We start from the raw sequence: 27,049 nt of genomic DNA, 5'->3' as shown, positions 1-27,049 counted from the left end.
GACTTCCGGGCGGCGGAGGGGGGTGCGGCGTGGGGAGGACCCTGCGCGGGCGGCTCCTCTTCCTCCTTCTCCTCTTCTTCCTCCTCCCCTCCACTTCAATTATTCATTCTCCTCGGCGCCGCCCCGCCCCGCCCCCACCCGCCTGAGCTGCGGCCGAAGGGGGGGCAGCCCCCGGGAATGCGGAAGCAGGGGAGGCGGGGCGCACCCCAGGTCACCCTCTCCCTCCTTCCTCGGAGGCGCGGGGCTCCAACCCCATGCTTTCTGTCTCTCATCTCCCCTCGGACTGCACTTCCTTCTTTTTTGTTTATCGCCTCCCCCTTCCCATTCTCTCCACTTCGTTTTTCTCCTGTGTTCACCTCCAGTGGCCTGGGTCTGACGGGGGGGTGGGTGGGGGACTTGGAAGAAAGGAGCTGGGGGACTTGGGCGGGCCCCCCAGTAACCCTTTAGCAGTCACTCCATGCTAACGCTCATTTCCAGTTTCCTGAGTGCTCACATATTGTTCCATCCCCTCCTTTGATCTTGAGGGGTCCCCTTTTCTTATTGTCTTCGTTTTGAAGCTGAGAAAGCTGCAGCTCTGAGTTGCTGTCTCTTCCTTACTCTCCGCTTTCCCTCTCTCGGGGACTGCCTTCATCTGGCTACAGCCCTAGTAGAGTAGGGGGAGGGAAGGGGACAACATCCAACATCAAGAGGAAAGGGATGGGAGGAAACACCGGGTGGAGGAAAGAGCAAGTGCAAAGGCCTGGAGGCCTGAGACTGGAGGGCATATCTTCAAGCAAGTCTGGATCTCAGATCCAGGGGAGGAGAAAGATGGGGAAGATAGGGCTGCAGAGTTCTGAGGATGAGATCCTAAGGGGCCAGAAGGTGGCCTTTATCCAGCAGGCAATGGGGAACCACTGCAGTATTTGAGCAGGGGAGTTATGTGGTCACATCAGGATTTAGAAAGAAGACCCAGCAGCCAGAGTAGAGAAGCGATCACAAGGAAGCAGCCTGGGGCTGGTGAGACCAGAAGGAGATTATAGCAGTAACCTATGAGAGGGGGTGGAGTTCCCACACATCCTGGATACCCCAAGCTCATTTCCCATCTCTGCCTTTGATCAGATTGGATGTATCCAGGCATTTATTATACAAACATCCATATAGTAGTGTCTCTTTGCCTGGCACTGTCCAAAACACTACAATTACTAACTCATTCTACCCTCACAATTTGTGAGGTAGCTCCTTTTTTCCTCCCATTTTACAGATGCAGAAACTAAGTCACAGAGAAATTAATTTGTTCAGGGTGACACAATTAGTAGCTACAGCCAAATTCATGCCCATCATCTGGCTCCAGAATAGGCTTTGCTACCCTTCAAGGGGAGGGAGAGAGGAGGGGCAAAGGGTAGGGGTTGAAGAAAGAGGAGCTGAGGAAGGGAAGTGGGAGAACCAACCTGCCTCAGAGTGGCAGGGAAGAGAGGATGAAAGGAGAGAGCTGCCCTGGGTCAGGAAGGAGAAGCCAACTGCAGTCCTGCAGCCTGGCATCCTTTTCATGCCCAGGGACTGTTTTGGTCTCAGCATGCTTAGGAGGTTGGGGTACCAGCTGTTGCCCAAGGCTGAAAACAGAGGGGAAAGAGTTAGGGATTAAGGGAGTTTTCCAGGATGGATTCAAGGCTGACAGTTGCCTATTGACAGGCATGTTTAGTGAGCAAGGGTGTTTGTGGGTCGGGCTGGAAGGTCTGAATCCCAGTGTAATTTAGAAAGGAATATCTCTGATTTTTCTTTCTCTCCCACAACCCTAGGCAGGGAGACTAATGAAGTGCACAGAGCCCTGGATGGTAGCGGGCAGGAGAGAAACTCTGGCCCCAGCCACCCTGAGGGTCCTCAGTCAGTTCTTGGATGTGTCTGGATCTCTTCCTTTTCACTGGTGTCTGGATAGGATACGGCAAAGTTAGAGTCCCACTTCTGGGCCCCATCCAAGTGAAGGCAGCCTCTCTACTTCCCATGATGCTCTATATCCCAGGATTTGCCTATTCAAAGAGGCAGCAGAAGACAGGTTTTTAGGTCGGAGACTCCACAGCCAGGAAATCTGGGTTTAAAACCCATGCATCAGCCAGGCACGGTGGCTCACACCTGTAATCCCAGCACTTTGGGAGGCCGAGGCGGGTGGATCACGAGGTCAGGAGTTCGAGACCAGCCTGGCCAACATAGTGAAACCCCGTCTCTACTAAAAATACAAAAATTAGCCGGTCATGGTTGTGCACACCTGTAGTCCCAGATACTTGGGAGGCTGAGGCAGGAGAATTGCTTGAACCTGGGAAGCGGAGGTTGCAGTGAGCCGAGATCAGACCACTGCACTCCAGCCTGGGCAACAGAGTGATACTCCATCTCAAAAAACAAAAACAAAAACAAAACAAAACAAAACAAAAACCCATTCATCCCTTCCTAGCTCCATCACCTTGGGCAAGTCACTTAATTTCTCTTAACTTCAGAGAAAAGTAAAATGAGAGATAACCAGTGCCTTCCTTCTAGGGCTGTGGTGAGGATAATTAAAGCTAATTATTAGACTAGGGTGATGTCTCCTTCAGGAAACCCTCCTGGCTTTCCCACCCAGCCATGCCCTGATCCTTATCTCACAGAGAAGTTTCCCTGACACAACCCTGTTATGAGCTTCCATAATATCTTTGTTTTTTCCTTCTTCATATCAGCACACTGGCAATTTATCTTTGTATGTTTGCCTGTTCGGAATTGCCTGGGAGCTCCATGAGGGTTGGAACAATTCATCTATTTTCTTCACCACCAAATCTCCTTGTGCCCAGTGCTATGCTGGGCACTCAGTAGGTATTCTACAAAAATCATTAAGTGAATGAATGAATGAATGAATAAGTGAGTGAGTGATCACCCCTATAAATTCTGAGGCTGGACATGGTGGCTCATGCCTGTAGCCCAGCACTTTACGAAGCGGAGGTGGATGGATTGTTCAAGCCCAGGAGTTTGAGAACAGCCTGGGCAATATGGCCCCATCTTTACAAAATATACAAAAATTAGCCGAGTGTGGTGGCATGCACCTGTAGTCCCAGCTATCAGAGAGGCTGAGATGGGAGGATCACTGGAGCCCAGGAAGTTGAGGCTGTAGTGAGCCATGATCATGTTTCTGCATTCCAGCATGGGTGACAGAGTGAGATACCATCGCAAAAAAAAAAAAAAAAAAAGAATAGGTTCTATAAGTTCTCTCCATTTTATAAACAAGGTAACTTATTCAGACAAGGGCAGTGACTTATGGAATTATTAAGCCTTTCTGTGTGTCAGGAGCTGTGCTAAGAACTTTACTAATACCATCACATGTTATCCTCAAACCAGCCATTTTTCAGGTAGAAATTGAAATTCAGGGAGGTACTGTCACAAGGCCATTTGTTAGGAAGTAGCAGAGTTGGCATTCAAGAACTCTATGCTAAAAGTTCAGGTGACTTAGGGGAGTGACAAGGAGAAGGATTTGAAGTGTGGATCAGGTATGAGGGTGACCCACCTGTCTGGGGTATTGTACAGGGGACTCTACCCTGAAGGGGTTTGGGCTGGTGTGTTCCGAGTGGCCTGCCAGTTCAGCAATTCAGACAAAAACCAATAGGAGTGCACAGAGGTGATGTTCCAGTGGTGGGGGCCAGGGTGGGATCAGTTTGGGCAAGCACTCTGCAATAGGATGGAGCGAGGCAAGTTCAAGGGCTGAGAAGAGGCTGAGTCTGTCTGGTGTGGAGACAGAAGGTGGCCACAGCTGGTCAGAACTGGAAAAGTCCTTTGGGATTTCATCCAGCTCTCCAAGCCCCTCTCTCATTTTACAGGCAGGGACTCTGAGGCCCAGAAAGAAGTCCCATATTTTTGCAAGCGGCAGGAGCCAATCTGGGAGCCTTTCCCTAGTCCCCCACATCCCTGACCTTTGTTGGGAATCACTCTTTATTGTTGCCTAGGCTGGAGTGCAGTGGCGCAATCATAGCTCACTGTAGCCTCAAACTCTTGGACTCCCACCTCAGCCTCCTGAGTAGCTGGGACTATAGGCACATACCACCATGTCCAGCTAGTCTTTAACATTTTTTTGTAAAGACGAATTTCGCTTTGTTGCCCGGTCTGGTCTCAAACTCCTGAGCTCAAGCAATCCTCCTGCCTTGGCCTCCCAAAGTGCTGGGATTACAAGCGTGAACCACTGTGCCTTGCCAGGAATCACTTTTACAAACAGACCTCATCACGTTTCCTTGCTTAGCCTTGCTTTGGGATCCTGCTGAGGGTTCAGCTCTTGCCTACTGCACCCTCTGCTTGAACCAGCTCCTAATAATCTTCCTTTAGTTCCGACTAAAATATTTGCACCTGTGCAAACTATGCATGAGAACACTGATACAGCATTGTTTATAAAAGCAAATAGTGGGAATGACCCAAATGCCCATCAGTGGGAGACCAGCTAAATAAATCATGAGACTTCTGACAATGCGATGGCGTGTAGCAGCAAGCTCCCTATGTCCTAATACAGAAAGACCTCCTCAGGGAAAAGCAAGGCAGAGAATAGGGAATGAAGCTAGGTGAAAAGGGGAATAATAATCTATATTTTTATGTGTTTATATATGCATAAAGAAACTTTGGAAATTTACATGAGAAAATAAAGAGATTACTGAATGGGGAACTGGGGAGAAGGGCAGACAAGGATGGGAGGGAGACTTCATGATACATGCCAATTTATGATTTCTTTTTGGAATCATGTGCATGTATTTACTTATTAATAAAATAAAATAATAATAGGGACAGCTGCTACTCAGCTCCTGTGGGGTGTTGTAATTGGGAATGGGTGGTCAGTCTGGTCAGATTTTTTAATTATTCAAGAGAAGTCAGAAATCTGGATTTTACTGTAAAGTTCCTTGATTTTTAAGCATTGGCTCCAACTTTTCTCAAACACTTTTCAGGCCAAATAAAAAAGCCAGCAGGTTAGACGCAGCCTGAGGGTAACCAGCTTTCAGCCTCAGCCCTAATAGCTTCCTGGAGTCCTCAGCACCCCAGGTTACTGAACCCCTGTGGGCAGCTACAGGACTGAAAAGCATCTTGCCCTACCCCTCTTTTGCCACCCTCCAACCCATGCCCCTTGGAGCTGTGACATGTGGGGCTTTTAACTCAAGATCTGGAAGGCAGAGCAGGGTTATGAACTCTTAGATAATTCCCTCCCCCAGGGCCCTGCAGGCATCAAGGCCCAGCTGCTCCTGCCGCCCACCCATCTGTCCCTGGGAGGTGGGGACAGGAGCAGGCTGGCAGGGAGGGGTGGGCAGGAGTCCCCGATCTAAGCCTCAGATCACTGGGTCTGTTCAGACCCAGAACCCAAGGGGAGAAACCTGGAGATTGTGAGAAAAGAAAAACAGTGTGGCTGGCTCACCTAGTTGATATGTTCTGAGGTCGTTCACCAAATTACCAAATCCCAAAGCTGCAAAGGCCCTAAAGGAACATCTTGTTCAACTCCCATATTGGACAGATGGGGACACCAATCTCTGCTCCCCACCACACTGCCCCAGGCTTGTCACCTCTCTCCAGGACAACTGGACTGCCCCTGCCTGCTCACTGGGTTCCCTGCAGCCCCTCTTTCCTCTCCTCATGTTCAATCTCCACCTTCAACCAGAGGGGCCTTTTAAAAAGGGAAATCTCATCAGATCCCACATCTGCTTAGAACCTCCGACTGCTTCCTGCCTCACTTTGAGCCAAAGTCCTCAGCCCTGTGTACATTCTGTCTCCTGGCCCTTTCTCTGACCTCATCTCCCACTGTCTTTCCCTTGCTCACTCTGTTCCAGCCACACTGTCTCCTTTAACAAGCCAACCTTCTTCCTTCCATGGGGCTTTTGTTCCTGCTGTGCTCCCAGGTATTCACAAGGCTCCATCTTTCTCCTTTCTAAAATGTTGCCTCTTCAGAGGGATTTTTCTCGATCATTTCTCCCATTCCCCTACATTCTCTATCCTTTCACTTGCCTTATTTTTCACTGATAGCATTGATCACTACCTGATATTATAATACATATTTATTTGTTTCTTGCCTAAAATGTGAGTTCCATGAAGGCAGCAGTCATGCCTATCTTGTTCACCACTGTATCCTCAGCACTTAGTGGGGCCCAGCATATAGCAGATGCTCAGTGTGACAGAAAAGGGCACCGCACTACAATTCAGGTAATAGCCAGTCCTAGTTCTGCCATTACCTGCACAGGTGATCTTGAGCAATTCACCTCGCCTCTGTAGGCCTCAGTTTCCTCATTCGGAAAAAAGGGAATCACTAAGACATCTTCAACTCAACAAGCCTGGGATGTCTTCTTCATCCCAATGCCTCTTTCTTACCCATAGAGTCAGAAAGTCCTTTCAATAAACATAATTGTATTTATTTATCTAGTGAATGGTCAATATATTCACATGCTTAAAAACTCAAAGGTACAAAAGGGACACACTGAAAAGTGTCTCTCCTACCCTATCCTCCAGCCACCAGCTCCCCTTCCCAGTGGCAATCAATGCTATTAGTTTCTTGAGTCTGTCTCTCTCCCTCTCTCCCTCTCTGCCTGTCTCTTCTCTCTCTCATCTTCCTATTTGTATACCTACCACCACCATTTTAAAACAAATGATAGCATAATTATATACAGTCCTATACTTTGTTTTCCCCACATAACAGCATTTTTGGAGACTGCTTCCTATCAGTGCATAGAGGGGCCCTTATTCTTTCATGGTATGGCAACATTCCATTGCATGCATACACCACAATCCACTTCATCATTCCCCTAAATCACGGGCAGCTAGGTTTTCTCCAGCCCTTTACAACAATACTTCAGTGAATGACTTTGTGGACACACCACTTTGGATATCTGTAGAAGAAATTTCTAGTGATAGACTTGCTGATTGAACAGCATGTGTGTTTTATAATTTTGATAGTTGCCCTCTATAGGGGCTGTACCAAGTTATCCTCCATACACCAGCATTGAGTGAGGGTGCTTGTAAAAGGCCTTTTTAAATGGCCTGCAATAAGTCCTCAAGACTCCTCAAGGTGGGTAAATCACTACACCTTGCTAAGCCTCAGTTTCCTCTTCAATAAAATGGGTATCCTGCTTCATAGGGTGGTGGTGAGGATGAAATGAAATAGTGCATGCAAATAGTGCATGCAAAGTGCTCAGCACAGTTCCTGGCACATAGTAGGGCCTCTATAAAGGTTAGCTATTCTTTCTCTGTCCCCAGGGAGCTCCGTGGGGACAGGGACTTTGTCATGTTCACTGCTATAGCACAGCTTCTGGCTAATAGTGGGCATCCAATAATTATTTATTGAGTGAACGAGTCCATTTTCCAGTTTTACTTTGTTGACCAGGGCTTTCTGTCTATCTTTACAGCCTCTCTTCCCCTTTTTTTCTGTTCTCCTTGGACTCCAGACACACTGGTCTTCCCCTGGCTCCCTCCTGCCACAGTGCCTTTGCACTTGCAGTTCCCTCTGGCAGAAGCACTTTCTCTACCCCCGCCCCAACCCCCCACCACCCATAGCCTCTCCATTTGCTTAGTTCATTTCTACTCATCCTTAAATCTTGCTTAAATATCACTTTCTCAAGAAAGCCTCCTCCATCTCCATCCCTGATTTAGGGTAGGATCGCCCTCTATATAATTTCACTGGACTCTGAGCTTTTCATTCAAGCATTATCACAATTAGGAGGGTGCATGCATGGTGTCAATCTTGTCCCCATGGCTGAAAGCCTGTGAGGTCCAGGACTGGGCCTGTCCTATGTACCACTGGATCCCAGGGCCTGGCCGAGTGCAGGTACTAATAGCCATTGACCTGAGGGAATAAGTGAGGCCCACATTAACTTTCCAGATGGGTGGAGCTGCCTGTGCCCACCCAAGAGAGGGGGAGTCTTGACTGAATGTTCCATCCTCTTTCCAGTGGAACTAGCTACTCCTGAAAAGTTCTGGTTGGTTAAGGGGTAGGGATGAGAGGCAGGAGAGAGGGGAGAAGAAGAGGGAGAGAGAGAAAGGGAGAATGTACCCTTAATTCCCATGATTAGGTCATGGCTTCAGTCATTCGACAGACCTCTCCTGAGCCCCCCTGAGCACCTTCGAGGAAGCTTGTGGAACCCCTGGGCTCAATGGGCTTTTGGGCTGGTGAGAAAGCCAAAACCATGAACAACAACAAAAAAACTGCTCTTGTCCAAAACAGGAAAGTATCTGATGCCAGGAGAAAAGGGAATGAAAGTCCCTCTGGGAGAGCTGAGGAAGAGCAACCCTCTTGGTGGCAGGGGTGGGGCAGGGCCTTCTAGGAGGAGGGTCCTTAAGGGAAGAGTAAACACTTAACAAAAGATATTTCTGGCAGAAGGCACTGCCTGAGCTCAGGGAAAGAGCTGGGAAAGTTAGGATGTGTTTAGGAACTGGCGTTCAAGAAGAGTGGAGGAAGATGAGGCAGAAAAGAAATTGAACTCAGAGAAAAGTACAAAGAAGCATGTCCCTGAAGGATGATTGCAGCAGTTTGTATCATCTGCAAAGGTGGAAACAACTTAAATGTCTATGCACAAGAGACGGGCTGAGTAAATACATTACTTACAGCCACCACACTGGCAGGCCATAGAGAGGTGGAAATGCCCAAAGTTGGCGAAGATGTGCATCACTGGTAGGAGTGAAAATGAGGAAGCCATCCTGGAGAGAAAGGTGGCAGCATTTAGGAAAAAGAAGGCTGGGCACGGTGGCTCATGCCTGTAATCCCAGCACTTTAGGAGGCCAAGGTGGGAGGATCGCTTGAGCTCAGGAGTTTGAGACCATCCTGGGCAACATGGTGAGACCTTGTCTCTACTAAAAATTTTTAAAAATTAGCCAGGTATGGTGGGGTGTGTGCCTGTAATCCTGGCTACTTGGGAGGCTGAGGCAGGAGAATCACCTGAGCCCGGGAGTTTGAGGCTGCAGTGGGCTGTGATCAGGGCACTGCACTCAGCCTGGGCAACAGAGTGAGACCCTGTCTCAAAAAAAAAAGAAAGAAAAAAAAGGAAGAAGAAGTGTGTGTGTGCCCTATGACAAGGCAATACCACATAGGATGTCCAGTGTGGCACTGTGTGTGTTGATAGGGGCAGAAAGCAACTCAGGTGTCCATAATCAAGAGAGTGGACAAGTGAAATGAGGTAGAGGCAGCTCTGCAGTTCTCTGGAGCTGGAGGAGTAAGGAGCTAGAGGTACCTAGAGTGCTAGAGTGCATGGAGAGATCTGAGAAACATCAGGAGAGGCAAAAATAAAAAATAAAAGGAGGAGACGAACATGACTTACAACTCAATAATGTTTATGTGGATTCAAAACACATGCCCAGGGTCAGGAGCGGTGGCTCATGCCTGTAATCCCAACATTTTGGGAGGCCAGGGCAGGAGGATTACTTGAGGCCAGGAGTTCGAGACCAGCCTGGCCAACCTGGCGAAACCTCATCTCTACAAAAAATACAAAAATTAGCCAGGTGTGGTGGTGCATATCTGTAGTCCCAGCTACTTTGGAGGCTGAGGCACAAGAATCGCTTGAACCCGGGAGGCAGAGGCTGCAGTGAGCTGAGAACATCTCTGTGTGTGTCTTTGGGTACATGTATGTATGCGTTTCTATTGTGTGGAATTACACCCAATGATAGGACTGGAATTGTCAGGTATGCTCAGTTTTAGTTGATACTAATAAACCGGGTATGTGGTTTGGTATTTATTTATGTATTTTTGTTTTGAGACAGAGTGTCGCTCTGTCACCCAGGCTGGAGTGCAGTGGCACGATCTCAGCTCACTACAACCTCTGTCTCCTGGGTTCAAGCGATTCTGCCTCAGCCTCCTGAGTAGCTGGGATTACAGGCGTGTGCCACCACACCAGGCTAATTTTTCTATTTTCAGTAGAGATGGGGTTTTGCCATGTTGGCCAGCCTGGTCTCTAATTCCTTACCTCAGGTGATCCACCCACCTCGGCCTCCCAAAGTGCTGGGATTACAGGCGTGAGCCACTGCTCCTGGTCCCGCTAAGAAGTTTTAAAACACAGAAACACATAAAACAACATGACGCATTTTGCAAGAAATTCTGAGTATTTAAGGACATATCAAATACAGTAGAGAGGGTTTCAGTGAGGTTAAAAGTGAGTGGAGGTGGGAGAAAATGATATAAACAAGAAAGAGTCCTTGCAGACTAAATCATGACCACGTGCTAAGAACTGAGAGGCAGGATTAACTCAACCCACTGTACTACAGTGTATGAAAATGAAACGTAAATTTCAATGTAGAAAATGAGATAAACAAATGGACTATATGGCTAAAATACTACAGAATATATATATATATATATATATATATATATATATTACAGAATATATATATATATATATATATATATATTACAGAATATATATTTATATATTTGAGGCAGGATCTTGCTCTGTTGCCCAGGCTTGAGGGGAGTGGTGCAATCTTGGCTCACTGCAACTTCTGCCTCAGCCCCCTGAGTAGCTGAGACTACAGGTGTGTACCACCATGCCTGGCTACTTTTTGTATTTTTTGTAGAGACAGGGTTTTGCCATGTTGCCCAGGCTGGTTTTGAATTTCTGAGCTCAAGTGATATGCCCCCCTCATCCTCCCAAAATGCTGGGATTATAGGCGTGAGCCACTGTGCTGGCCTCACTATAGAATATTTTGCAGCTATTAGAAAATAGAAAAGAGATCTAAATGTCAATCAAAGCTGTCCAAGAGCAATGCTGCGAAGCACTAGGTTTGTGTGCAATGCCCTCCACCTGCCTTCCTGTCCTACCATCTCACAATAGTCCTGTGGGTTTTCTCTGGGTTGACAGCTATGTCTTTAAATGCATATCACAGTTTTGAAAAGACACACCCAAACTGGGATACTAGAGGGAACTGAGAAGAGGGGGAGGGGGGTAAAAAAGAGCTTAGTCTTCTCTGTAATGTTTTGAGTTTCCGTAAGAAGAATCCATTTATAGAAATTAAAATGAATGAATTTGGTATTAAAAGGTAGTAGTAAAAACCAGCTCAAGGAGGGCTGGAATGTTCTGGGCTTGCACTCTCTTTGGGATCACTTAAGATTTTTCAAGTCAAGCCATGGGCCATCTGTTGCCTGGTGAAAATGGAGGCGTGGGGAGTTGGGAGACATGTCCCCACCTGGTGTCCCCATCTGGCTGCATGACCTTGGGAGGGTCCCATCCCCTTGCCTGACCTCAATGTCCTCATCTGCCCAGTGGGATTCAGATTTTTGTGTTACCCAGGGATGTGGGAGGATGAAGTGAGGGCGCGAGGAGAATCACATGAATGTAAGGGATTATTCTCGGGGTCGGGGAGGAGACAGGGTGGAAGCCTGTCTTCCACCCACCAAGCCCACAAGGGTGCAAAGGAAGTGGAGGGAGGAGCTAGGGACCACCCAGGCGAGCACACAGCCCATCTGCAGCATAGGAGCATGTTCTCAGCAGCTGGGAGGCCCAGCCAGAGCTGGTAGGGCAGCCACCCAGGCTGCTTGGAGAATCCGGACATTAAAGGGGTTCCTCTCACTGCTCTCTCAGTGCAGCTCCAGCCCTGTCACCTCCCCAAGCCCCCATTTTCACCCTCCTGTCCGCTCAACACATACACACGTATCTCAGAGGAATGCACTGCACTTGCCCCTCTTCACCCATCCTATCACCAGAGCCACAGGGGCTTTCACAAGGTAAACCCAATCATATCTGTGCCTGCTCAGCACCCTCCAGCAGCTTCCCAGCATATGAGAACAAACCCAATCCCCGTACTTTAGTGGATAAGGCATGATCCCAGCCCTCACCTTTAAGAATCTGGCCTCAGAGAGAATCTGCCTTAAGTAGAATTCTGACTCTGCTCATTAATTCATTCATTCAAAATTGTTTATCAAGCACCTACTGTGGGAGCCAGGCACTGTTCTAGACATTTGAGAGACATCAGTGAAGAAATGAATGAAAGATTCCTGCCCTCAAGGAGCCTCTCTTCTAGCAGAGGGAGATGAACAATAACCATAAGTAAATTATAAGGCATGCTGGGAGGTGACAAAAGTTATGATGAAAAGAAAGAAAAAGAAAAACTAGAGCAGAGGAAGTTGATCAGGAGTAGCAGGAGGGGCAGAAGTTGCATTTTAAACATGGTGGTCAGGGCAGGCTCCATTGAAAAGGTGCCATTTAAGAAAAGACTGGGCCAGACGTGGTGACTCATGCCTGTATTCTCAGCACTTCGGAAGGCCGAGGCAAGCAAATTACCTGAGGTCAGGAGTTTGAGACCAGCCTGGCCAATGTGGTGAGACCCCTGTCTTTACTAAAAAAATACAACAATTAGCTGAGCATGGTGGCACACACCTGTAATCCAAGCTATTCAGGAGGCTGAGGCAGGAGAATCACTTGAACCCAGGAGGTGGAGGTTGCAGTGAGCCAAGATTGTGCCACTGCACTCCAGCCTGGGTAACAGAGTGAGACTCCATCTTAAAAAAAAAAAAAAAAAAAGCTGGTAGATGGTGAGGGAAGGAACCATGTAGACATCAGGGAAAAGTGCAGGCAGAGGCAGCAGCCAGTGGAAAGACCCTGAGGCAGGACCACGCCTGGCTTGTGTGAGCAGCAGCAGGGAGGTGGGTGATGACCCAGAGAGGGGGACACTTTTCCAGTGAACAAGACAGACAAGGTCTCTGCCCTGGGGAGCTCATGATTACAAAGCAAGGTGTTTAGAGAACAAAGATGGTATGGGAAGTACAGAGACAAGGGAAGTCCAAAAAACTGTGGGGGCCCAGAGAGGACTCTTGACCCTCAGGAGGAGGTAACCCCAAGCTGAGCAGTGGGGGATATGGAATAGTGACACGTGAATAAAGGCATGGGAGAAAATTAATCCAGAACGATGGGGGAGTATGTGCAAAGGCCCTGAGAATCCCACCACTGGTCACCACCCCCACTGCTATCTCTTGGTGCAGTGGCCACCCTCTCCTGCCTAGATGATTATAGCAGCCTCCTCTTGGGTCTCTCACAGAGGGGCAAAGAAGCTAGAGTATACAGTCACTAACGACTCTCTTTTCTTGGTAGGAGTTCACACTCGTGGATATTAATTCACTGCATTCCCCTCTCAACCTGCATCCATGAGCAGAGAGAAGCAGGAAGCCACAGGCATACACAGCAGTGTCTGCAGGTGACCTCTGGGGAGGCCCTAGTGGATTTTGGGTGGGGCACTGCCAGCACCTTCCACAGCCCTGTGTGCTCAATGTCTCCTTCTCCTCTCTGTCCTACCCTCTCCCCCTCACTAATTCTATTCAAATACACTGGCTGTTCCCTCTGCCTGGAATGCTCTTCCCCTAGATATCCACAAGGCTCACCCCCTCATCTCCTCCACACTTCTGTTCAAATGCCATCTCCTCAAAGACACCCTCTCTGACCAGCTTATCTCAAATAGCCCCTCCATTATTCCACCTCCACCTTGTCCTGTGCTATCTTTTCTTTTCTTATCTTTTCTTTTCTCCTTCCTTCCTTCCCTCCTTTCTTCCTTCCTTCCTTCCTTCCTTCCTTTCTTTCTTTCTTTCCTTCTTTCTTTCTTTTTCTTTCTTTCTCTCTTTCTTTTCTTTTCTTTTTTAGAGAAAGGGTCTCACTCTGTCACCCAGGCTGGGTTACAGTGGCACGATTGTAGCTCACTGCAGCCTTGAACTCCTGTGCTCAAGTGATCCTCCCACCTCAGCCTCCTGAGTAGCTGAGACAACAGCCGCACACCACTACATCTGGCTAACTTTTTAATTTTTATTTTTTTGGTAGAGATGGGGGTCTTGCTATGTTTCCCAGGCTGGTCTCGAACTCCTGGGTTCAAGTGATTCTCCACTTTGGCCTCCCAAAGTATTGGGATTACAGGTGTGAGCCCCCACATCAAGCCGCTATTTTTTTGGTAGCACTTTTTACCACCTGACATATGATATATTTACTTGTTTTATGTTGATTGTTTCTCTCACCAGACTGGGAGATTCCTGAGAGCAGGGACCATGTCCAGTTTTGCTCATGGCAGAATCCCTATCACAGGGCCTGGGAAGTCAATACATAATTGTGAAATAAATGGCTCTGAAATTGAAATGCTCTCCGAGAGTCTTTCTGGGTCTGACCATTTCAAAGTCTTGGAAATGACTATGATTCCCCTCCCCAACATTTCCAGTGGCCAGGGGTGGCCTCTAAAGGCCAGTTACCGCCAAGAAGCTGCTAATGTGGGAGCCTCCCTCAGCCTCTCCCCATCCAGGCCCATGTGGTAGGGGTCAAGGGTCAACCTGGTCCAGCCCTCTGTGGGTCCCAAGGTGGAGGAGACGCAGTGCTGGGGTCCAGGCCGAGGGATGCCTGGTGAGCCCCATTTCTGCTTTGGCAAACATCCCCCTTTCCTTCTCAGGGCCTGTGCCTGCATTTCTGAACCAGAAGGTGTTTATACAAAACATCCTGGGTTTGGCGACAAATTCACCCTCAGTGAGGAATCCTTAATGAATCTCCCTCCTTCCCCACACCAGGTGGCTGAAGGAAAAATTAGCTCTGCCTCTGGTAGTTGAAGGCAGCCAATGGCTAGGCAACATAGAGGTGCTGCTGGGGCTTCTGGGGCCACAATTTTTGGGGAGGGTTTTTTCAGGGTCCGGAAATGGCATGGACACCAGGCACTCCTGGCTTGCTGTGTGATGAGGCACTGCCTTTCTCCTGGCCTCAGTCTGCAGCTGTGAAATGGGGCAGTAATAATCCCATCCATACAAAGGTTGCTTTGACACTCAAGTAAGGCAAGGGGTGTGAAGGGGCTTGGTTACAAGAGGTCAAAAGGAGAGAATAAAACGCTGGAATCAGGGAGGCGAGACATCAGAGTGATAATATCGGTTCTGCTCTTTAGACTTTCAAAGTCCTTTCCCAGCGCCTTTTACAGCCATGTGGGCTCAATGCCTCCTTCCCTCTGACCTCCTGCCTGCTTCCCCCCCGCCCATTCTGTTCCACATACGCTGGCTGTTCCCTCTGCCTGGAACACTCTTCTCCTAGGCATCCACATGGCTCACCCCTCACCTTCTTTTCAAAGCCTTGCCTCTCTCTGAGGTTTGTTTTTTCCAGCTATCCAATGAGGAGTTTGGGCGTGAAGACCTCGTGGGAACCCTCTGGTTCTGATGGTAACCATTTTCCACCTGCCTGCCTTCTCTGGGAAGTCCTCCCAATCCTACCACCCACACCCACCTGCTTTTCTGAGCTAGCACTTCATTGCTTACTGCCCATAGTTTTCAAGTCCCTTCCTTATGTATAGGCCAGCTACTCTGGACATTGGGCCCAACACAGGGGCTCAAGTGAACTCTGGTTAAACGGAATTAAAAGTGATTACTGCTTCCTTTGTTTTTTGAGACAGAGTCTCGTTTTGTCACCCGGGCTGGAGTGCAGTGGTGCCATCATAGCTCAGGGCAGCCTCGACTCCCCAGATGCAGGTGCTCCTCCCGCCTCAGCCTCCTGAGTAGCTGGGACCAACGGGCGCGCCCCCCCTCACCCAGCTAATTTTTTTTTTTTGTATTTTTAGTAGAAACGGAGGTTTTACTGTGTTGCCCAAGCTGGTCTCGAACTCCTGGGCTCAAGTGATCCCCCCGCTTTGGCCTTCCAAAGTACTGGGATTACAGGCATGAGCCACTGCGCCCAGCTGATTCCTGCTTCCTTCCGATCCTGTGGAGAGACACTGAGGCGGATTTTTATTCACCCCCTTTTTATAAATTAGAAACTGAAAGTGTCAGAGATTAAACATAAGTCACACTGCCACATGGGCCTTCTTGGTGTTTCTTAGCCAGGGGAAGAATAATATTTCCCAGATCCTAATCACTACCTGCCACGGTATATAATTGTTTTGCCATTAATTGTCGGTGTTTCCCACTAGGATGAAGTTCCATGAGGGCAGGGATTTTGTTGTGTTCACTGCTGCATCCTAAGCACATAAAACTGCTTGGCACATAATAAGTGCTCAAGAAGCATGAACCGAGGGAGTAACGGGTCAGAGGCAGCCCGAGGACTGAGCTCTCTGAGCCTGCAGAGGGCGCTCCAGCCCCGCCCCCAAAGCTAGGCCCCGCCTCTCGCAGCCGGCTGGCGCACTAGTGTTAGAGCCTGCGCACCACCGTTCTTTTAACTGCGCAGGCGCGCCGGAAGCACCTAGAGAGCGGCGCGTGCGCAGCGGGAGTCGAAGCGGAGATCCCGGGGTCGCGCGAGAGCCGCAAGCGGAGTTGGTGGGCGCTATGCTATCACCCGAGGCAGAGCGAGTGCTGCGGTACCTTGTAGAAGTGGAGGAGCTCGCCGAGGAGGTGCTGGCGGACAAGCGGCAGGTGAGAGGCCCCTCCGCGGCGCTGGGGCCTGGCGGCCGGCGCCGTGGGAAAGCGCGCGGGGTCGCAGTGAGTTGACCTGGACAGGCGGTTAACGGCTCCGAGGCGACAGACCTGGGCCGATAAATATTCGGCCGCTACTAAGTGAGCGCCTGCGCTATGCTGGACATTCCTCTCTCTTCATCCTTTCTCTGCCCCTTGCCATGCTCTGTGGATCTCGACCCATCATGCTCTGGGCCGTTTCCCTGAGCACCTGTTTCAAAATGCACTTCCCGGCCCCATGGTTGATCTAGGGGCACCGCCCTGTAAAGGCCCTCAGGGGAGAGCTGGAACCGAAAAGAAGCCTGAGGGGGCCTTGTGACCGGGCAGGGGTGGGGACGTGGGGGAAGGTGGCGCCCTGTTTATGGGGTGTCTTGTTTTAAGTGCCAAGTTTTTGAGGGGAGTTCCTGGGGGAAGGAGGGTGACGTAATTGGATTTAGGTTTTAAAAGGATCCCCCCTGGCTGCTGTGTGGAATACAGAATATAGGTGGGCAAGGGCGGAGGCAGGGAGATGGGTGAGGGGCCATTGGTATGGTCCAGACCAGAGATGGATTTGGACTAGGTAGTGGTGGTGGAGAGAAGTGAAGGGGTCAGAAATGTATTTTGGAGACAGACTCAGTAGGCCGTGGTAGTGGAGCCGGGGGAGTCGTGACTCCCTCTCATCTCCAGTTAGAAGGGTCAGGTATTTACTGAGAAGGGGAAAACTTGGGCAAGATCCTGTCAAATTAAGTACTGGATCAGGGTGTGCTGGATGAGAATAAGAGCAGTTAAAGTTTATCAGCTACTTACTATGTGCCAGGTACTGTGTTAAGTCATTTAATTGCTGGCTCAATAACCTGTAAGGTAGGTACTGTCCGTAGCTCCATTTTGAGGAGGAGTAAATAGGAAGGTGAAATTACACAGCTTGAGGCAGATAGCAGGATTCGAACCTGGGTATTCCAAATCCAGAACCAGCACTCGTGCAGTATACTGTACTACTGCGTCACTTCCTTAGTAGCTATTGTGTTGTTACCACTGTCTCAGTGCCCCCAATCCTGCTGTTCCAATCTAGTATTGTTGGGTTTCTCATATTACTAGTTCAGAATCAGCTGGAGAAGTTTGTCCAAAAATAAACATTAGGCCTGCTTAATCACAGTGTGTAGGGGAAGGGTTTCCACTCCCCTGGTGATTCTGATATGCCCTAAAGTTCGAGTGGATAATGCAGAATTTCCCATTTAGTCAGCACATGTTTTCTCAGCATCTTTTCTGGGGAGAGGGCAGCTGCACAAAGCATTGTCTTTAAGACCAGGAAGCTGAGTGAGAGAAGAAATACATTCACACATCAATCCATTTTAGGCAGGACGTTGAATGTAATCAGGAATAATGCATTGCCTCTGCAACCCTTGTCTGTCAAGAGGTGACAGCTTGGGGCAAGAGATAGCTGAGTTCCCTCCTGTCCCTGTGGTTTTCAGATTGTGGACCTGGACACTAAAAGGAATCAGAATCGAGAGGGCCTGAGGGCCCTGCAGAAGGATCTCAGCCTCTCTGGTAAGTTGAAATTTTCTCAGTGCAGCCCTGGAGGCCTGTTCCGTTTTCCTTTAAGGCCTTTACCTTGTTCCTGATAGAGATCAGGCAGGAGGTCACAGCTGTATAACTCAGCCTTGTGGGAAATTGAAACAGTCCGGGGAGATGGGGGAGCAAATTTTGCAGTTCTGGCACAGACTGTGGTTCAGGATTTTGCCTGCTCACTTCAGTGACAGGTCGTTAGCTCCTGGCTTATCAACGATGGCAGACACTGAGAGAGTGCCGGGGGTGTATAAAACTGATGGTTCCTGCCCTTGTGCTTTACAGATGAGGAAAACAACGTAAAATGCGTAATTGAAAATTGTAAGAAAGCCAGAGATGGAATTGGACTTGGGGTGGGTGTTGAGAATATATATCCAGAAGAATGGGACACTTTAGATGAGGCCAAGTGGCTGTGGCAGTGGAAGCAAATGGGGAGTAAGTATGGCTGGAGAGAGGGACAGAGACCAGGCCATAATGAAAGGTCTTGGGGGCTAAGGGAGGAAGTTTACATTTTGTTGAAAGTACACTAGAATGTGCAGAATCTTCCAGTTGCTTCTCATCTCACCTGAGTAAAATCCAGAGGTCCTACAAGACCGAGTAATCCAGCCCCCATGAATCCATGAGTGTGCCAATATCATCTCTACTCCCCCCACCCCCAACATGACTCCACCTACACTGGTCTCCTTGCTGTTCTTTTATTTATTCATTTATTTATTTATTTGGAGACAGAGCCTTGCTCTGTCACCCAGACTGGAGTGCAGTGGCATGATCTTGGCTCACTGCAACCTCTGTCTCCCAGGTTCAAGTGATTCTTGTGCCTCAGCCTCCTGAGTAGCTGAGATTACAGGCGTGTGCCACCACACCCAGCTAATTTTTGTATTTTTAATAGATACAGCGTTTCGCCATGTTGGCCAGGCCGGTCTCGAGGTCCTGGCCTCAAGTGATCCACCTGCCTCGGCCTCCCAAAGTGCTGGGATTACAGGCGTGAGCCACTGCGCCCGGCCCCTTGCTGTTCTGAACACCCCAAGCACACTACTGATCTTTGCTGTTCCTGTTGTTTCCTCTGTTTGGCTCACTCTTTCCCCAGATGTCTGCAGGGCTCACACTCTCACTTTCCTTAGGTCTCTGTGTAGATAGCATATAATCAGTAAGGCCTTCTCAGACTACCTGCTATGATTAACAAGGTCCTCCTCTGGCATTCCCTAGCCATCTTAGCCTGCTTTATTTTTCTCTACAACTCTTAAGGTCTGACAAATCATATCTTTATTCTCTCTCCTCCACTGTAACATAAGCTCCAAGAGGGCAGGAACTTTTTCTTGTTCTGCTCTGTTGTCTGTATCTAAAACAATGCCTGGCAGATAATAGGTACTCAAAAAAAAATTGTTGAAGGAATTACTATTTGCTCTTTCAGAAGATGTGATGGTTTGCTTCGGGAACATGTTTATCAAGATGCCTCACCCTGAGACAAAGGAAATGATTGAAAAAGGTAAGGCCTCCTGGGGATGGGTCAGGGGTGTGCTGCCTCTCCCACCAGCTTTGGTCTTAACCCAGAACAGGGAGTCAGGCTTCAGGCAGCGTAAGGAGAGGCAGTTCTGTCACAGGGTTCAGACTGCTGTGGGTTTTAATTCCACCTCTGCCACTGTGGGTTATTTCCTCATCTCTAAGAGGGGGATGCATCTGTGTAGCATAGCTGTGCAGTTGAGGTAAAACAATATGTGTGCCTAGCATAGTGCTTTCTTATTAGTGAGGAATCAGTTGGGCTGCAGATAACAAAACCCAACAAATTGAGGCTTAAGGAAATATGCTTCTTTTACTCTTGCATAAGAAATTGTCCAGAGGTGTGTACTCCAGTCCTGGCATAGATGCCCAGCAGTGGCACCTTAGCATATTCTCCTGGTTGTTGTTTCATCGTTGCAGGCCTCATGTCCTCATGCCAGGCTGGAGGAAAGACAGAAGGCTTTCGCCACATAGAGCTTTGCCTTCTATTTTGGAAGTAAGGCCATCTCCTCAGGGACTTCCTGCCAACATCTCATTGGCCAGAACTAAGTCACATGGTCACCCATAGCTGCAAGAGAGCCTGGGAGAGTGAGCTTTTCTTTTTTACATGCCCTGCAATAGAGACTGGGTTGAAAATGGAGGTTTGGGGAGATTAAACCTCTAGGGTCTGCCATAGCCTAGGCACTCAGTGTACTCAGTTTCCACAACCATAATCTGGAAGCTCTTTGGAAAAGCATCTTAAAGCAAGTCAGGCTGCAAATGGATTATTGGCTAGAAAAAGAACAGGCTACACATACTTTTTCTTCCATAACCTTGAAAATGGCCAAAAGGACAAGCAAGGTTGCCTCAGTCCCTGAAGACAGGATGTCTTCATACCTCATGAAATAAAACTTTTTTTTTTTTCCTTGAGACAGAGTCTTGCTCTGTCACCCAGGCTGGAGTGCAATGGTGCTATCTCGGCTCACTGCAACCTTTGCCTCCCAGGTTCAAGCAATTCTCCTGCCTCAGCCTCCTGATTAGCTGGAATTATAGGTGCATGCCATCATGCGTGGCTAATTTTTGTGTTTTTTTAGTAAAGACAGGGTTTTGCTATGTTGGCCAGGCTGGTCTAAGTGACCTCAGGTGATCCACCCACCTTGGCCTCCCACCAAAGTGCTGGGATTACAGGCGTGAGCCACTGCTCCTGGCCAGTGACATAAAACTACTAACAGGAAGCTATATCCAGCCTGGAGAAGTTTCCAGCTGTTGTGTTGAAAAAATACACTAATATTATGGTTATAAAATTAAACTGCACTTGGTGGTGGGCTGGAGGCTAAGCTTTCAGAGGGTCCCTTGCCTGGGTTCAGGATCTTGTTGGCCCTTTTGGCCCCCAAATGTCGTCTTGTCACTGTACCTAGAGGGGTTCTGAGACATTATCAGATTTCTTGGGGATCAACATAGGCTAAACAAGCTCATGGACATTGGGGTTACTCATTCACAATGAGAAATAGAACCAGGCTGTAAGGCTTGGCCATTCAGGGTTTCTCCCCCATCTGAAAGAGTGAGTCTGTGGGGAAGACAGGCTAGCCAGAATGTCACTCATGAGCAGGTGGAATTGGCTGGGTGACTTCAGTCAATTGGTCAATCAAGCTTTGATAGCCACCTCTGTCATCACACCAACTCTTCTCAGGGGCAGTCCATGACACTAGAAGACCCTTTTCTGTTCACAGTGGCTAATTAAGTTAAGCTTGAGCATTGCTTGCGTGTTGATTGTTTACGTCACATGTTTACACAATCATGTTTTTCTAAAACCCCCTCACCTTGATGGACTTGGGTTTGTAAAATTTCTTAGGCATCCATTTTCCAGCCATCTAGGGTGGGCTGAATCTAGAGATGCTTATTTTGTTTGTGCATTTGAATTTTCCATAATTTCATTGTGGGAGGGCAGCCTAAAGTCCTGATGTTGCCTTCTCCATCCACTGACCACCCCAAGGTACTTTGCATAATGCAGAAAAGGCCAGTGTAATGGGAGTTGGGACTGCTGTGTCCTGGGCTCTCTGAGTGGTCCTGAGCAGGTCATGTCCCTTCTAGACTTTAATCCTTCCTCAGTTGGCCTCTGATGTCCCCTTTTCCTTCCTGAAAGCTACACGCCCTTGCTGGGGAGAGGCTGGCCTCTCCACTACTGGGATCAAGTCTGTCTGGTACAATCTTATCCTCTGCTTGCCCCCCTCATTTTTTCAGATCAAGATCATCTGGATAAAGAAATAGAAAAACTGCGGAAGCAACTTAAAGTGAAGGTCAACCGCCTTTTTGAGGCCCAAGGTATTGGCTTAGCAGGGACTGGAGATAAGAAGGGGAGGGAATCATCAGCATGGACTTTGAAGGGCAGGGATGGGAAGTCCGACCCTCAGAGATGGGCAGTGTCCGGGGCAGCCTGTGAGTGGCCCTGGAGGTGTGCACAGTGGTTGGTTGTAGCTGCCCAGGGACAGAATGGACAGGGGGACTTCTACAGTCCTAGTCCTGTCATAGTTTCTTTTCCAGGTCCCAGGAACCGCTTGGGGTGATCTCACGTTATACATCGGGGCATGGCATGGGGATCAGATAGCTCTGACTGAGGAAACTCAGAAGGCTTCAGTGAGTGAGTGAGGTCAGAGCTGAAATTCTTGATAAATGCAAGCACTCTAGATTGGTCACAGGTCTTGGAAAAACCTGAGGTTCTTTGGGCAGCAGAGTTACGCGTTTGCAGGCTCTTGGTGACACAGGAGCAGTGGTGATGCCTCATCTGGTGCATTGCAGAATTGGAGGCCCATCCCTGCCAGACCTCCAGGCTGAGTTTGGCAGCATTAGTGCAGCGTCAGCCCCTTTCCTGGGCCTGGCTCCAGAGCCAGCAGGAGGCCCGACGTGCTGATGGATCATCTTCTCTCCTAGGCAAACCGGAGCTGAAGGGTTTTAACTTGAACCCCCTCAACCAGGATGAGCTTAAAGCTCTCAAGGTCATCTTGAAAGGATGAGACTCAAGAACCAAGATGGGGGACCAGCAACCCCCCAGGGTCATGGAGGACCCAGGACCCTCCAACCTTGACACCTGTAAGGACAGGATCTGCCCTGTAAGGGGCCAGCCGTCAGGAATCTGGCCATGAAAACCTCTTTGTAGTGCTTGGCTACTCTGTGATGGCAGGAGGGAACCTTCAGCCTGTCTGGCTGCTGGACCTGGACACCAGGGCTCGGTGGACACAAGATCTATTGACGGGCCTTGGTAGCCACCAGTGGGTGTGTGGGGCAGTGGCTGTGGGGGTGTAAGAATGACTGCAACAGGCACTTCCCAACAATGGCCTGCTGTTCACATGGACCCTGAGCAAGGAAGGAGGGAGGGAGGGGCAGAGTGGAGTGTCATTCCAGCATTCCTCTCAGAAGGGAGAGAGGTTTTCAGGCTGGTGCCATGCGATTGGAATAAAGCAGGAGGCTCATGGGTGGTTGCTGAATGAAGAACAGAATCTTGGTGCTTTGTGGCTCACCACAGCCATCTGTGGGGCAGGCACACACACCTCCCGCCAGCTCCAATTTTGCACTTTTTCCCTGCTTGATTCCAAGAGTAGGTGCTGCCTAGCAGCCCTTCGTGGCCACTCTTTACTCAGGAGGGCCTTGCAGAGTCCTGCACCAGGCCTGGGTGAGTGGATGCGCCTCTTACCATATGACACGTGTCAAGATGCCCTTCCGCCCCCTCTGAAAGTGGGGCCCGGCCAGCACTGCTCGTTACTGTCTGCCTTCAGTGGTCTGAGGTCCCAGTATGAACTGCCGTGAAGTCAAAACTCTTATGTGTTCATTAAGGGCTCAATAAATGTTAGCTGAATGAATGAATAGCAGCAACTAGTCTTTATTTGCCTCATCTAGTCCTTCAGTAAGGGCACGCCACTCCATTTAGAATACAACCTATGAACATGGTTCTTGCCTTGAAATAAACCTGTGATTTGACAGGCGGGTGATAACAAATGGCAGCATGGCAGGGGCACACCTCTCCTGGTCCCCCCGCTCCTTGGCTCTGGCTCATAGTTACATAGAAACACAGGCTGTCATGGCCAGTTCTTACGTGTTTTCAAGAGAAGCTAGACATATGGGTTGTGAAGTTGAATCTCCTTTTAAATATTTTTGACTAATGCAGAAACTTTTAAAACATGAGTGTGGGTCACAGGTGTTAGCTCCAGATAGTGCAATACCATACAACTATAATCAAGAATAAGGAACAAGCTCCAAGATACATCAAGTGAGGAAAGCAAGGGGAAGGCTGGTGTCTTATAAGCTAATAATTTTTGTGCAAGCACAGTGTGATTCCCTCAGAACAGCACCTGCAGGGTTGGGGCGCACAGGTGGGAGGGAAGGAGATGTCACCCTATACCCTTTTGTAAACTTTGGATTTTAAACCGTATGAATATATTGCTTATTTTAAAATGTAAATAAAGTAGGGAGTTGCAGAATTCACCTTGCTAGATGTTGTCCAGTGTGACTGCCTGATTCACAATTTCATCACTGGAAAATTGCCCCTTCCTCCCTGGCAGGGTGGGTGCTGGGCCAAAAAAAGCTAATCGCATTCCTTCTGGAAATAGGGAACCTGGAGTCCATGCCTGGACCTGTCTGGGTTGGTGTGCCTCAGGTACAGGGATGAGTGGGAGAAGTCCTCATGCTCTGAAGGCAGAAGGTCTAGAGTAGCCTGGCTTCTGGCTTTCCTAAAGTCGGCTGGTTCACTTCTTGGATTTGCCAGTATTTTCCTTCCAAAAGTCTTCCCTTCGGGCTTGACCTAGGCAGGCAGATTCAACCATTTGCAGCCAGAGAAACTACTCTGAAGCAGGCGGAGTGGTAGAGGGAGTAAGTCCCCCCTGGAACAGTTACCCCAACAGCCCCGAGTCTTGTTGCAACCCCTCTTAAACCAAGAGGAAGCTTAGCAATGTAAGATGTGAAAAGGCAGATTTTTACTCACACTCAACTCCCGAAGCTGTCCTGCCCATGAGCCCAGGGTTTTCCGGTTTCTGGCTCAGCTCCCAATCTCAAACACAAGGCCTAGAGAAGCACTTAAGTCACCCATCTGACTTAGATAAATGCACCTTTGCAGAGACCCTCACTAAGCTCTGCCTCCCTGGTCTGTCTTGTCCATCTGAGAAATGGGGATGCCCTGTCCCACTGGTTTTCAGATGATGGTCAGGGAGCCCCATGGGCTCCCCTGACATGCAAGGAGAAGAGGATGTGTTTAGGGCTCAGTACTTCCCCAGGCCCCCAATAAACACACAATCTAATAACTGCTTGCTGTGTAAGCACAGCTTAAAGACGAGTTCCTTAGCCTCCAAACTCTTGCTCCTGAAGGACCTTTTCAGCACTGACTTGGGAGGTATCCAAGTGTCAAAGCCAGGAGGACTTGGCTGCAGCCAACAGTATCCCCGGAACCAGGCCTGGTGCCCAGTGACTCCAAGTAGGGCCTGTGCTCATTTATTAGATATGATCTCCTGGGGGTAGCAGAACTTGCTGTATTTGTTCTCTTTGGGCCTAACTGCCAAGTCAGTTTGTCAAGGTTAAACCTCCCCCAGTCCCAGTGATTGGCTGTCTCCTGGTGCAAAGATGCCTGGGGATGGGCTGGAGGTATCCAAGGGGCCCAATTCAGGTAGTAAGCTGCAGCTGCTAAGCCAGCAAAGCTGGTGCCAGGCTGGAGGTGGGGAGGCGAATGCTGTGAGGTGCTGTGCTGGGATCTGGGAGTGGGGGGGAGGCCTGGGTGGCACCTGCTAAGGCTGATTTCCTCCTGGCAGCTGGGGATCAACTGGAAGCTTTCTTCTGAACTTGAAGGGAGCAGAAGAGCTGCCTCAGTTGTTTCTTCCGATCGTTGACGCAGCCTGGAAAGGAAGTGGGGTGTTGGCTGGGATGACCTATGCTTGGGAGGAGTGGAGGGGCCTGTGCCCCAACTCCCTGCTGGGAAGAGGGGACAGCGGGAGTCAGACAACCACACACAGCCTGTGGTTTATATCCTGGCTCCATTCCTAAACTGCCATGGCCCTCAAGCAGGTCAGTTACCCTTTTCAGCATCGGTCTTCTCATCTGTAAACCAGGATACTACTGCCCACCTTATGGAGTGAACATGAGGACTGGGGGCTTACCTCAAGCCAGGAACTGCTCCAGATGCTGAATGTGGATGGATTTGTTTGGCCCTCGCAGGAATGATGTGTAGAAGGGAAAACAGGCTCAGAGAGGTTAAATCATTTGAACCCAGACTACCTGGTGCCAGAGCCACACTCTTAACCACTACCCCACGCTGCTGCTTCTCCTGGCTTTGCTCAGTGAAAATGCATTTAAAGCTAGCACAGTGCCTGGCACCTCATAGCTGCCCAGTACTGTTAGCTTTCTTCCCTTACCCAACCCATGTGCCAGGCACAACTGGCTAAGAGATGAGTTTTCCGTACATGTGGCCCCCAATCCCAGGCAGTTCGTGCTGAGGCTGCCGTGAGCTGCTGAGACGTCTCTCCCAGGACGTTCATGGTGCTACATGTTGGCTGTTTGCTCTCAGAGCTGATCCTTGAGGTAACTATGGTCATTTAACCTCATGCCAGGCACATTGCTGGCACTCAAAAATGCTGCTTGAATGACTGAATCTCTGTGGCCACTAGTTCTGACCTGTGGGTGTCTGCCATCTTCCACATCCCCCCAAACCCTGTCCCTGCTTCCCAGACACTCACTCAGCCATTCACTGAGCTGAGAGCCTACGATGCACATCCTCAGGGTTTTCCAGAGTGAGTTCCATGCAGCCCTAACTTAAACTCTATTTGGCTCATTCCTAACTCTCGAGTCTTCTTGTCCAGTGCAAACTTCTTGGAGTTCTACACTCATCTCTGAGTTATCTGCTGACCCTTTCACCTGGATGTCCCTGAACGCTTCCCTAACTCAGTTCATCAGTACTCTTCCTACCCTAACCAGCTACCCTTGTGTTTACCACCATAAACCCAAACACTTGAAACAGGAATAATTCTAGAGACTTCTAAAGCACTGGCTCTCCCAGCCTGGTCAATATAGTGAGATTTTGTCTCTACAGGAAAAAAATCACACACACAAAAATAAAATTAGCCAGGTGTGGTGTGTGCCTGTAGGCCTAGCTACTCAGGAGGCTGAGGTAGGAGGACTGCTTGAGCCTGGGAGTTTGAGGTTAGTTACAGTGAGCTATGATTGCACCACTGCACTCCAGCCTGGGCAACAGAGCGAGACTCCGTCTCAAAAAAAAATAATAAAAAAAAAACAGTAGCTCTCAACTTGGGCTGCATATTGGAATCACCTGGGAGCTTTAAAAGCTACTGATGCCCACACCAACCATATCTTGATCTGGCAGGCGTCAGTAGTCTTTAAAGCTCCCAGGTGATTCCAATGGGCAGCCAAGATAGAGAACCGCCGCTTTCCATCTTTGCTACTCAAATGGGGGTCCAGGAAGTAGCGCATTGATATCTTTGGTGCACTGTTGGCAAAGAAGGCTGCAACAATGTTCCTATATGCACACCTCTGTGCAAGGTGACTTTGCTGCTCCTCTCATCAAAAGGTGGGGTCTATTTTCTTTTTTTTTTTTTTTTTTCTTTTTCTGTGTGAGACAGTCTCGCTCTGTCGCCCAGGCTGGAGTGCAGTGGCGCAATCTCGGCTCACTGCAAGCTCCGCCTCCCGGGTTCACGCCATTCTCCTGCCTCAGCCTCCCGAGTAGCT

The 27,049-nt window shown here is 49.1% G+C and overlaps 2 protein-coding genes across 11 annotated transcripts in view; one reads left to right on the top strand and one right to left on the bottom strand.

Annotated features, from left to right (window-relative positions):
• The first annotated feature begins 16,104 nt into the window (after positions 1-16,104).
• PDRG1 (p53 and DNA damage regulated 1) lies at positions 16,105-23,814 on the top strand. Its single transcript, NM_030815.3, has 5 exons — positions 16,105-16,276; positions 17,764-17,839; positions 19,269-19,343; positions 21,575-21,655; positions 22,262-23,814. Exons 1-5 carry the CDS (start codon positions 16,190-16,192, stop codon positions 22,342-22,344), a joined length of 402 nt encoding a protein of 133 aa, NP_110442.1. The 5' UTR covers positions 16,105-16,189; the 3' UTR covers positions 22,345-23,814.
• Positions 23,151-27,049, bottom strand: part of TTLL9 (tubulin tyrosine ligase like 9) — a 74,367-nt gene continuing 70,468 nt past the window's right edge. For 7 of the 10 annotated variants that reach the window (NR_148014.3, NR_134519.4, NR_148012.3 and 4 more), the window contains 3 exons: positions 25,096-25,206; positions 24,306-24,385; positions 23,151-24,125 (listed from right to left, as the gene is read on the bottom strand). Coding sequence is in view for 2 of the 10 variants with exons in the window: in NM_001008409.5 (NP_001008409.1) it covers positions 25,130-25,206 (77 nt within the window). In the remaining 8 variants the exon portion in view is untranslated. Of the gene's footprint in view, positions 25,207-27,049 lie in introns of all 10 variants that reach the window. The other 3 variants (NR_148011.3, NM_001008409.5, NM_001367620.2) reach the window with 1 other exon arrangement.

The sequence above is a fragment of the Homo sapiens genome, chromosome 20 (genome assembly GCF_000001405.40).
Source record: "Homo sapiens chromosome 20, GRCh38.p14 Primary Assembly".
In the NCBI taxonomy this organism is placed as follows: Eukaryota; Metazoa; Chordata; class Mammalia; order Primates; family Hominidae; genus Homo; species Homo sapiens.
The sequence above is the reverse complement of the archived record's forward strand: the minus strand, read 5'-3'. Positions and strand labels throughout refer to the sequence as shown.

Bases quoted from the DNA above. Each gene is read 5' to 3' on its own strand.
- PDRG1 (NM_030815.3), top strand. From the start codon at position 16,190: ATGCTATCACCCGAGGCAGAGCGAGTGCTGCGGTACCTTGTAGAAGTG. The intron at 16,277-17,763 runs GTGAGAGGCCCC...TGTGGTTTTCAG, and splicing joins TGCTGGCGGACAAGCGGCAG to ATTGTGGACCTGGACACTAA. The intron at 17,840-19,268 runs GTAAGTTGAAAT...TTGCTCTTTCAG, and splicing joins GAAGGATCTCAGCCTCTCTG to AAGATGTGATGGTTTGCTTC.